This window comes from Homo sapiens, chromosome 1, assembly GCF_000001405.40.
Source record: "Homo sapiens chromosome 1, GRCh38.p14 Primary Assembly".
Taxonomy (NCBI): domain Eukaryota; kingdom Metazoa; phylum Chordata; class Mammalia; order Primates; family Hominidae; genus Homo; species Homo sapiens.
This window is the reverse complement of record NC_000001.11, coordinates 113543540-113555844: the sequence shown is the minus strand read 5'-3', so window position 1 is coordinate 113555844 and position 12305 is coordinate 113543540. Positions and strand designations below refer to the sequence as shown.

At 36.9% G+C, this 12305-nt stretch overlaps 1 protein-coding gene across 5 annotated transcripts in view; it reads right to left on the bottom strand.

Annotated features, from left to right (window-relative positions):
- The window catches only part of MAGI3 (membrane associated guanylate kinase, WW and PDZ domain containing 3), a 295409-nt gene that overhangs the window by 130079 nt on the left and 153025 nt on the right, over nucleotides 1-12305 (bottom strand). For all 5 annotated transcript variants that reach the window (XM_017000974.2, NM_152900.3, XM_005270737.4 and 2 more), the window contains exon 2: nucleotides 6214-6330. In XM_017000974.2, the coding sequence (XP_016856463.1) occupies nucleotides 6214-6330 (117 nt within the window). The remainder of the gene's footprint in view (nucleotides 1-6213; nucleotides 6331-12305) is intronic.

Below are 12305 nucleotides of genomic sequence, written 5' to 3'. Positions count from 1 at the left end.
TATAGCCTCAAACTCCTGGGCTCAAGGGATCCTCCTGCCTCAGCCTCTCGAGTAGCTAGGACTACAGGTATGTGCCACTTTGCCTGCCTCATTAAAAAAATTTTTTTTTGTAGAGACGGGGTCCTGGTATGTTGCCCAGGCTGGTCTCAAACTCCTGGCCTCAAGCAATCCTCCCACCATCGTTAATAATTTCTAATTTAATTTCATGATGGCTAGATAACATGTTTCATATGATTTAAGTCTAAATCCTCTTAAATCTATCAGTTCTTGTTTTGTGGTGCAGAATATGGTCTATATTTGTAAATGTATCATCTGCACTAGGAAAGCATGTGTATTCTGCTGCTGTTGGGTGGCATCTTCTAATAAATAGTAACTCGGCCAAGCTGGTTGAAAATACTGTTCATGTTTTCTATTACCTTACTGATGTTTTACTTAATTTTAAAATTAATTACTAAAAGGGGATGTTGAAATCTTGAACTGTAATTATAAAGTTGTCTATTTTCCTTTCAGTTCTATTGCTCTGATATCATTTCTCTTCCACCTGAAGAATTTCCTTTAACATTTCGTTTGTTGTTTGTGCATTTTGTCCAATCTTTAATATTTCTTACAGTGTATATCTGCTGCTGAAAACTTCTTTCACTTTTTGTCTGAAAATTCTTTATTTCTCTTTCATTTTTGAAGGATATTTTTGTTGTACATAGAAATCCAGGTTGGCGTTTTTTTTTTTCCTTGCAGCATGTTAAAGATGTTATTTGATGGACTCTGGCTTATACTGTTTCTGTGGATACTGCAGTCATTCTTTGTTCCCTTGCATGTAATTTATCTTTTTTTTCTGTATTTTGCATTTTCTTTTTCAAAAATTTTTATTTTATTTCACTTTATTTAGAGATGGGGTCTCACCATGTTGCCTAGGCTGGATTTGAACTTCTGGGCTCAAGTGATCCTCCCACCTCAGCTTCCTGCTGTGTTGAGATTACAGGCACATGCCAGCATGCCCAGCATCATTTTCTTTTTATCAATGGTTTTTTATAATCTAATTATGATGTCCTTTGATATGGTTTTCTTCACATTTCTTCTGCTTGGGATCTATTGAGCTTCTTAGATCTGTGCACTTATTATTTTCATCAAATTTGGAAACATTTCAGTCACTATTTCTTTTTTTTCTCCTTCCTCCACTTTGGCTTGATAGTTTGTCATGGGTAAATATAAATGCATCATAGTCCTGTTCTGCCTGTATTTCAATGTCTGAAAACAGCTGTTACATATTCCTCGTCCAATTTCCAGTTCTTTATTACAAAAGGGTAAATCTAGTACTAGTTATGGTACTGGTACTTCATTGCAGAAGTAGAAATCTCTCCCCTCCCCATTGTCATCTGGTTGCTCAAAAAAAAAAAAGTTCACTTTTTCAGTCATTTTCTTCTCTATGCTTCAGTTTCATTAGTTTATATTGCTACGTGTTCAGGTTCACTGATCTTTTCTTCTCCAGTTTTGAATCTCCTGTTGAGTCCATTCAGTGAATTTTTAAGGTTCCACTTCATTCATACACACACACACACACACATATGAATATTTATATATAATTTTTCTCTTCATTATGTTGATACTGTTCTTTAAATCCTTGAGCATATTTCTAATAACTAAAACTCCTGGTATAGTAATGCCATCATGTGTCATTTCTGTTTCTTTTTTCTATCAGCTGACTTTTCTTTTGATTATGGGTCACATTTTCCTGCTTTTTGCAGGTCTAGTAATTTTTTATTAGATGCTGGACACTCTGAATATTTTGTTACACAATGTTTCCATTTTGTTGTCTTTCTATTTTTTTGTTTGTTTGTTTGAGACGTAGTCTCGCTCTGTCACCAGGCTGGAGTGCAGTGGCACGATCTCGGCTCACTGCAACCTCCACTTCCCAGGTTCAAGCAATTCTCCTGCCTCAGCCTCCCAAGTAGCTGGGACTACAGGCACCCGCCACCACGCCCAGCTAATTTTTGTATTTTTAGTAGAGATGGGGTTTCACCATGTAGGCCAGGATAGTCTCAATCTCTTAACCTCATGATCCGCCTGCCTCAGCCTCCCAAAGTGCTGGGATTACAGGCGTGAGCCACTGAGCCCAGACACTATCTTTCTTTAAAGAGTGTTGATTTACTTCTTTCCTTCTTTCTTCCTTTTTTGCTAGCAGTTAAGTTGCATGCATATTCACTTGATCCTTTGGGGTCTTGCTTAATTAAGCTTTGTTAAAGCAGGCCTAGAGGAGCTTTATCTGACTATTTTAGCCCTGCTAGTAAGGGAGGACCCTTATGGGATTCTTCCACCAAGCTGATTAGAACTCAAATGTCTCCTGGCCCCTGGGTAAGCTCTGGGAATTGTTAAACTTAAAACTCCGAGAGATTTTTTGGTTTAACCTTGAAGAGTCTGGTCCTACATATTCTCAGCTTAGTATTCAGCCACAGAGTCAAGGGGGTGCCTTTACAGATTGCTTGAGCTCTTTTTCTTCATAGCCCTCTCCTCTGTGACATTCTGTCCTGCAAATTCCAGATACCTCAGGCTTCTTGAACTCAGATTTCTGTCCCTTCAACTCAGAGTCCATTGTACTCTGCCTGGACTCTCCCTCCTTGTGCTGTGGTCCAGAAAGTGCCTCTAAGTAGAAAGTTGAGGAAATTATAGGATTCCTCTGTGTGTGGTCTCCTTTCTTCTTCTCTCAAGGATCATAGTCCTGTTCCACCTACAGCTCAATATCTGACAATAATAGAAGTGCCCTCTTTTTTCAACGTTGTTGCTCAAATTGTTTCAGATTTTTGGAGTAAGTATCAAGCACCCCTTCTAGGTGGCTTCTATGTCCTTCTGATATGTCTCTATAATGTTTTAAGCACTATATACTTTCTGATACACTTATATGCTCCAAAGCTCATCTTGTACTTTCCTTGTACCAGACCTAGAATCAGAACTATCTCCAAGGAGACCTCAAACTTTTTAGGAAAGTATGATATTTAGAGATCACATGTGACCCTTCAGTATGCTACCTGCTACTGATGTGTCATTGCGTCTAGGTTCCTAGAGGGAGCTTTGGACACTTCAATTTTTGTGTAAGTTAAGAGGGCCTGTTGAGATCTAAAAGGGCTACAGCTGCTTGGACCCTGTGAAATGAAACAAAATAAATTTTAGCTCCCTTCTAGGATAAAAACCTCACACTGAGGAAACTGCAAAACTGGAACAATAAAATTAAAAGAAAAACTTAAGTGAAAGTGGCAGAGGGCAGTATAAAAAAAAGACCTATCTTAGAAAGTACAAGTACATATTTTTATTATCTTGTTTTAACAAGGGAAGAGGAAGCTCTAGAGCTATGAAACTAAAAATGAGACATCCCATGCAGGCAAAATATCAAGTTACTTACAAAGGAATGAAAATTAGATTGCTACCAAACTCTTTAAGAGCAATGCTTTATGCCAAAAACAGTTAGATAGTTGACTAATATATTTAAGATAGTCAAGGAAAGAAAATGAGTCAAAAATTTTATATCCATCCAAACAAACATCAAAGTATAAAGGCCACAAACAAACTCCTAAGATGATCCTGTGAGCCTTTGCTGGGAAAACGAGTAAAGAAAAAGCTTTAGACAACTACAATTAGTGAAAAATAACAACATAAGGATTGGTGGTTATATTAAATATGTATTTACCCACAGAATAAAAGATAAATGATAATTATAAAGGAGGAAAGTACAGTAATGTAATGGCTATTTGCTTAGCCAATGTAGAACAACAGCCCAACTATCAAAAAAAGTAGGGTAAGAATGAGAAAAGCACAGCAAAGTGTGGGATACATTTACTGATTACCTTATATTTCGTAGGAATAAAAAGATATTACTTCAAGTCAGATGATGGGAGAGAAGGAAGGAAAAAGAAGAGATGACTAAGTAATTTTAATATTACTCATAGTAGAGACAGAAGCAAAAAAATAGGGAGGGAGGAACAAAGATTATTATATAAAGGTATCAAGGTAACCATTAAAAAAAAGATCCCTACAAACCTTCCTAAAAAGAGATCAAATAAAATGACTACACAGTGAAAAGCTTTTCATACAAAAGGCTTATATATGGTAAATATAAAAACCATGACAGAACTGAGGCTAAAGATATTGATCACATCAATAAAAATTTAAGAAGTTTCACACTGGCTACTGAGTAAAGTCTAGAACTATTTGTAAAACAGAGATTCAGAGACTTTAAGAATAACAAGATGGACAAAGACACATCAGGCAAATACAAATTGAAATAAAGGCAGAAGTTACAATCTGCAGCTACAAGGTAGATTTGTAGGAGGAAATCATAGATAAGGAGGCAGATTAAAAAAACAAAAAATATTTTATGCGATGCTAAGGAGTCTGAACTTTGTCAGTAGAAATCTTTGAAGGATAAACTATAGATTTTGGACAAGAATCAGATGTCCACTTTATTTTTAAATTTTTTTCCCTTTCCTATAGTGCTGAGAAATGTGCACTTTAAAAACTGATTGAATCGAGGTGAAATGAGAGGGAGGAGATCCAGTTAGAATGGGGGAAGGGGACAAACACTGCTTGAGTGCCTCTCTAGGCCAAGCAGTTTACATATATGCTCTCATTTTAAATCCTAGTAACAGCTATATGAGGTAAGTCTTGTTATTCTAATTCTATATAGAGAGTTTCTGAGGATCAGGAACATTAAGTAACTTGCCCAAGTAAAGTAGCCAGTAAGATGCTAGAGTAAAGATTTTGAACTCAATTTTACTTAGCTCTTTGCCACTACATAGTCAAGGGAGGAAGGGAAGAAGCCACGGAGGGAGGGAAAAAAGAAATTATTCCAAGTAAGAGAGAGTCCCTTTCCTTTTTCTTCTTCTTCTTTTTTTTTTTTCTTGTTGGGGAAGGGAAAGATTTTAAAATTATTTTAAAATAAAGTTCTAATAAAATACTTGTTCTTGGTATGCAAGGCACTGGGAGCTAAAAAGTCTTCTTACTGCATAAGGCTTTACAAATTGATTTACAGGAATAAAATCTAGTTAACAACATGTAAAAATATATATATATTTTTTTTCGTTTTTTTCTTTTTTTTTTTTGAGTTGAGGGTCTTGCTCTTGTTGCCCAGGCTGGAGTGCAACGGCATGATCTCGGCTCACTGCAATCTCCGCCTCCTAGGTTCAAGCGATTCTCCTGCCTCAGCCTCCCAAGTAGCTGAGATTACAGGCGCCTGCCACCATGCTCGGCTAATTTTTGTATTTCTAGTAGAGATGGGGTTTCACCATGTTGGCCAGGCTAGTCTCAAACTCCTGACCTCAGGTGATCTGCCCACCTCAGCCTCCCAAAGTGCTGGGATTATATAATCTTAAATTCTAGTCATCACTTTTTAAAACTCACAATATAGAATCTTCCAGTTTTTCTACTTTCTACTTTTTTTTTTTGAGACGGAATCTCGCTCTTTCACCCAGGCCGGACTGCAGTGGCGCTATCTCGGCTCACTGCAAGCTCCGCCTCCCGGGTTCACGCTATTCTCCTGCCTCAGCCTCCTGAGTAGCTGGGATTACAGGCGCCTGCGACGCACCCGGCTAATTTTTTTTTTTTTGTATTTTTAGTAGAGACGGGGTTTCACCGTGTTAGCTAAGATGGTCTCGATCTCCTGACCTAGTGATCCGTCCGCCTCGGCCTCCCAAAGTGCTGGGATTACAGGTGTGAGCCACCGCGCCCGGCCTTTTTTTTTTTTTTAGACAGAGTATCGCTCTGTCACCCAGGCTGGAGTGCAGTGGCATGATCTCGGCTCACTGCAACCTCCTCTTCCTGGGTTCAAGCGATTCTCCTGCCTCAGTCTCCCAAGTAGCTGGGATTATAGGCGCCCGCCACCACACTCGGCTAATTTTTTTATTTTTAGTAGAGATGAGGTTTCACAATGTTGGCCAGGCTGGTCTTGAACTCCTGACCTCAAGTCCACCCACCTCGGCCTCCCAAAGTGCTGGGATTATAGGTGTGAGCCACTGCACCCGGCCCAGTTTTTCCATTTTTCTACTTTTAAAAACAAAACCTCTCAAGTTCTTTGAAAATTTTTCTTCTTATCCAATTTTTGTTTCATTCTTGTTCCCAACTTAGTCTTCACAATTTCATGTGAAATACTCCATCAAACTATCTGTAGATGTTTAATTAGTTAAGAAAGGACATTTCTGCTTCAGTTCTTTTATTCCATCACATACTTACATGGAATGGTTCTCAAGTAGAGATTATCTCTGATCACTTGCTGCAGTTTGTGGTCAATTGATCCTTTTTGAAACTGAAGACTTAGGTAATGCCGCAAATCTTTATTAATGACTTTGCCTGGAGCAAAGACAAAAAAAAAAAACAGAAAATAAATGCATAATTTTTAGACGTTCACTTAAATATAGAAGCTAGTAACTGAATACTCTTAAACCAGTTAGCTATAAACAGGATAAAGAAATCAGAGAATTTTACTAAAAAGAAAAGAACACCAAATTATTTATAGGTACTATAATTAAAATATGTACCTGCAATATAATGTGGGAATAATTTTACATGGTAAGGGAGGGAGAAGGTACAGGTCAGAGAAGGTGACAAAAATATTCAGAGTAATTTCATTTAGTCCCATGGCTTTAAATACTATCTATATAATGATAACTTCCACATTCATATCATGTATCCATCCTTGATCTACCTCTGCCAAGCTCTAAACTCATCAAACTGATGCATATATATTGCAGATATATTTGGAAGTCAAATAAGCACCTCAAGTTTCAGATAGCCAAAACAGAACTTTTAATTCCATCTGCCCCCAATGTTTCCTCCCCAACATTTTCCCTATTGTAGAAGGCACCATCAACTTGCAAAACAATCTCGAAATCTAGAAGTCATCCTTGATTTCTCCTTTTCACTTCTACCCATCCAGATCCAACACATTAGCAACTTTTGTCGGTTCTACTTCCAAGACATATTTGACTTTTCTTCATTTCATTTGCCACCACCCTAATCTAAGCCACCACTGATTCCTCATCTGGAATTCTGTCCCAGCCTTCTAATCGGCATCATTCTTGTCTCCTTCCTGCTGCCCACCACTTAGAAGCCAGAGTGAGATTTAAAACATAAATCTGATAATTACTACTCTGTTTAGGGTCCCCTCAGATATCTTATACTTGCAACAAAATCTAAAATCCCGAACAGGGACTAGAAGGCCCTACATGTTCTGGCTCCAGCCATCCCTGATCCTAATTTGGTCACTCTTCCCACTGTCAAACACTGCTCCACCTATTCTTGGCCATCTTTCTGATCTTCGAAAAGGCCAAACTGGCCCTACCTTAGGGTCCTCTTCCTATCACTAGATTGAACAGGCATTTTCTGTCCACTTGCTTGACTCCTAGATACAATGTGAATAATTAAGAAAGTCAAAAATTTTCTATTATTTGTGGGGAAAATGGGAAATAAATAGAGAGATATAAGGGCTCTCAAAGAAATATTAAGCAGAAAAAACAGGATTGCAGAAATCTGATAGCAATGAATTTATAGTAAGGGTTGAACTTAAAATGAAACTCCAAACAGTCCAAACCATTGTTCATTAGACAAGGCTTCAGATAATTAGAAAAAATCAATGCTAAGGCAAAATAGATTATTTTATTGAATAAGAACAGTTGATTAAAGTATACTCTTTTATTTAGAGCAACGCACTTATGACAAGCTTAGATAAACCAAATACTATTGATCAGCTAATTTTTTTAACTATTATTCCACAATATTACATTTCTAACTCCCTCTTTTGCTCTTCTCATATGTATAAATGAACATAACCTATGCAAGACGGTGTTAACATAAGCAGGAAATCAGTGTATGTCAAAAGTTCAGCAAACATATTCAGATCCTAAACTAATAAACACAAACCCTAAAAAGTCCTTCTTTTGTCTTGCTAAAAATAGATGCTGAGCAAGGGGGAGCCTTTGTGATTTTAATAAACCTGAAAGATATTTACCAGGATGAACACAGAAGAATCTCTGGTCCCAGAGGTTGTTTCTATTAAGCATTTAGGGATCCCACTAACCCAAGCCTTATTTAGATAAAAATAATATTATTTCATTTTTTAAATGTATAATACAGAATCATACAGTATACTATTCATCACCGGATAGAATAAAATGCTAATTTATAATCAATACTGTATAGTCTCATTACTTATTGAACAAAAATATACCAAATAATGAATTCATTAAGTATTTTTAAAATCAGGTAAGAGATGTCTCAAATGTTTTGTAAATGTTATACAAAAGTTTTCGTAGATCGCTATATAGTTGTCTAAAGGTGTTTTGTGATATTTGGGGAAGTTTGGTTAGGGTTTTTGAATGGACAGAGAATGCATCATTGTTTTTTCCCCCACTTAAAAACAACATAATGTAGGCTCCGACATCTAAATATCTGCTATACAACATATTTTCAGAAAAAGACTTAATTTGGATAAAAGATAATACATGAATAATTTAAAAAGACAATCTGACTCAATACTTTGTTTTATTAACTCACGATTTCCTTTTTTTTTTAAATTTGAAGCTTTACTGTCAGATATGGTATAACGTACAAAGATAACTATAAAATGCTAAAAACTCAGATTGCATTTTAATCTATAAAATAACAACCATTAAATTAGATATAATTAAGGACAAAGCCACAATAAAATCATAAATTACAGCATAATGGGTCTCTTAAGGCAAAATAATTGAAACAACTCAATTCTTGCTTTTTTTTTTTTTTTTTAGATGGAGTCTCACTCTGTCGCCCAGGTTGGAGTGCAGTGGCACAATCTTGGCTCACTGCAACCTCCGCCTCCTGGGTTCACGCCATTCTCCTGCCTCAGCCTCCCGAGTAGTTGGGACTACAGGCGCCCGCCACCATGCCTGGCTAATTTTTTGTGTTTTTTAGTAGAGACGGGGCTTCACCGTATTAGCCAGGTTGGCCTCGATCTCCTGACCTCATGATCTGCCCACCTCGGCCTCCCAAAGTGCTAGGATTACAGGCATGAGCCACTGTGCCTGGCCTCAATTCTTGTTTTAAGGGCCTACAAGATCTTAAGACTCAGAGGCCAAGGCTGGAATTGCACTCTGTTTTTCACCGTTCATTTCTACTGGGATTCTGGATGTAACACCGAGACGAACAGTTGTAAAGAAAAGTGTGAGGGACAATTTTGTAAGTGTGATATTTTGGCTGGGTGCGGTGGCTCATGCCTGTAATCCCAGCACTTTGGGAGGCCGAGGCAGTTGGATTACTTGAGGTCAGGAGATCGAGACCAGCCTAGCCAACATGATTAAACCCCATCTCTACTAAAAATACAAAAATTAGCAGGGTGTGGTGGTATGTGCCTGTAATCCCAAATACTCCAGAGGCTGAGGCAGGAGAATCGCTTGAACCTGGGAGGCAGAGGTCGCAGTGAGACAAGATCGTGCGGCTGCACTTCAGCCTGGGCAACAGAGTGGGACTCTGTCTCAAAAATAAGCAAATAAATAAATGTGATATTTTATGTAAACATCTGCAAGTATTCAAAAAAGTTATCACACTTTTTTGAGGCTAGAAACAAAATATTACAAGCATCAAAGAAATATCAATTATGAAAGTTTAATAAGTTAACTATGGACTTGCATTCTCTAAAAGTAACAATTAATTAAAAAATATATTGGATGTAGCAGCCATCATGGACTGCCAAAAGAACTTCCTAAGTGAACAAAATATATGGTTCTCTCTTTGATATGATTCCAGGGAATTTGTATTTTTTTAAAAAATATGTAAATATCTTGAACAGGCAGCTGACTGTGGGATTACCAGAAGGCCAACAGACACATTAACTCAGAAAGACACTGCTGAATATATCTGTATTATCAATTTGTATATGAACATCTGCCTTTTGTTTAGGGATAGTTCACAGGAATGACATTTCAAGGGTATGAAAAACATCCAAGTGAGCTTACTATAGTTGTTACTGAACAAAGAAAAGATTCTTCATAACGTTAGCATTCTTAACATAGCCAGACTTTGCTCTAAATGCTAATATTACGCCTTGGCTTCTAAGTAATTTATAAGTCAAGGTTACATATGTAAATTAAAAACAGATTTATATATCTTACAAATACAGCTTGGTTGCAAAAAAGTCCCTAACAGAAACCTCAATCATGAATAAATCCAGGAACTCAAGTTTCAACATACAAATCCTTAAAAAAACTCGTTAACTACAAATCCATACTTTCTGAATATATGCAAATTAATGTTCACCACCAGTTCTCTGTGAGGAACCAGTATATAAAGTAACTATTATTTAACTAAACGCTGGGCATGCGGGCATGGCAATGGCCAGGCAAGCAGCTGTAAATCAATCTAATTACAATCTAATTTCATCATGTTTCCACAAGGATAGTTAAGGAAACACTGTCAACCACTTGGCGAAAGTCAAGATACAACATGTCTTTACTATTCTCTAATCCAATAGCAATTATACAACTAAAAATAAAGCAAAAAAAAAATGAGGTCATTTTGGCATGTCTTATTCTTATAAATTCATATTGATTCATGGTGATCATCCCATTCTCTTCTAAACACAATATTTCATTTTTTTACAATCTCTTCAAATTTTACCACAGTTTAAAGTAGGGAATTGGTCTTGGGTTTTTGCAATATACTTTATTCCTTTTTGGAAACTAGGACATTTGTCTCTCTCTTGTCTCCAAGTATTTACCCCATATTCTCAGTGATTTTGTAAAAAAAAAACAAAACAAAACAAACAAACAAAAAACTATATTTTGTTAAAAAAAAAAAAGTGACAATAACCCTACGATTATACCTGAGTCCGTCAACTCCTGGGAGGCAATACATTTCAGTATTGAAAATTTAAATTCATTTAAAGTGAATGATACTCCATCTTCTCATATTTTTTGTTTGTTTGTTTAATTTCCTCTGTTTCAGGTTGTTTGTTTTACCTTTTACTATAGGAAAAGGATTTCTGCTATTGCAAGATTATAGAAGCAAAGTAAGAATTGTATAGGTCTGATTTTTACCTGTAAACAGACATTAAGAATATCTTCTTCAGACAGTGAGCTATCTCTTCCCTCTTGTTGCTCTTGCTCCAAACACAACCTTAAAAGCTCTTTGTGCACTCTGAGGCATCTTAGTTCCTTTTAAATTTTGGCCTTTGAAGAGAAAATTCTTAAATGTTTATTTCTTAAAGTCTTAGCACTGTATAACTGTGTGATGATTATGTGCTCCTTTCATCTATTAATCATGCACATCCTTTAAGAAACCTGAGCTGTTCAGGGCATTTTGTACACCTATAAGAATTTCTTCTAATAATTTTTCTTTTAGAACTCTCTAGCCTTGAAATCACAGCCATAGATGCTATAATCTTGCAAATATCTGTTTTCCTTAAAGGCAAAGGATGGGCATAACCATGTTTCAGTTCTCTTCTTTACAATGATGTCTGTAAGACAACTTGGTGACTTTCCCAATAAACTGTTCAATACAACCACATCAACACACAACCAATATTACAAACTAGTCCTTTTCCATTAGACCAGGACTCAGAATAGCAGTCCCTCTTATTACTTCTTCTACCTCATGAGATCTATAGCAGTAAGGGAAGCCTCCATGAAAGTGGTAAGATTAGCCTAATGCCAGACTGGCTCCCTGGCTCAAGGAAGGGGATCCCTAAAAAATAATAAATCAAACTGTCTACTTCTTTGTAAAAATAAAAGTATTTACAATGCTTTTCTAGATAATCAGTATCTATACATTTCATAGTAAAACATATTCATTCTATGACACAAAAGCTGTTCAAAAATACCATATACATTGTTAAACCTAAATTGTCAGCTATCTAAAGGCCAAGGCCATGGTTTATTTTTATTGATTTAGTTTAGTTTTTATAGATTTAGTGTGTACCTAGAAAATAGAATAAGTTAATCAGTTTAAATTTTTTTTTTTTTTTTTTTAGATGGGGTCTCACTCTGTCAACCAGGCTGGAATGCAGAGGTGCGATCTCGGCTCACTGCAACCTCCGCCTCGGGGGCTCCAGCAATCCTCCCACCTCAGCCTCCCAAGTAGCTGGGACCACAGGCACACGCCACCAGGCCAGGTTAATTTTTGTATTTTTGGTAGAGACAGTGTTTTGTCATGTTGCCCAGACTGGTGTCAAACTCCTGAGCTCAAGTGATCCGCCTGCCTCAGACTCCCAAAGTGCTGGCTGGGATTACAGGCATGAGCCACCATGCCTGGCCTTAATTTGTATTTTTAACTATTCATTTGACCCTCTCCATCCT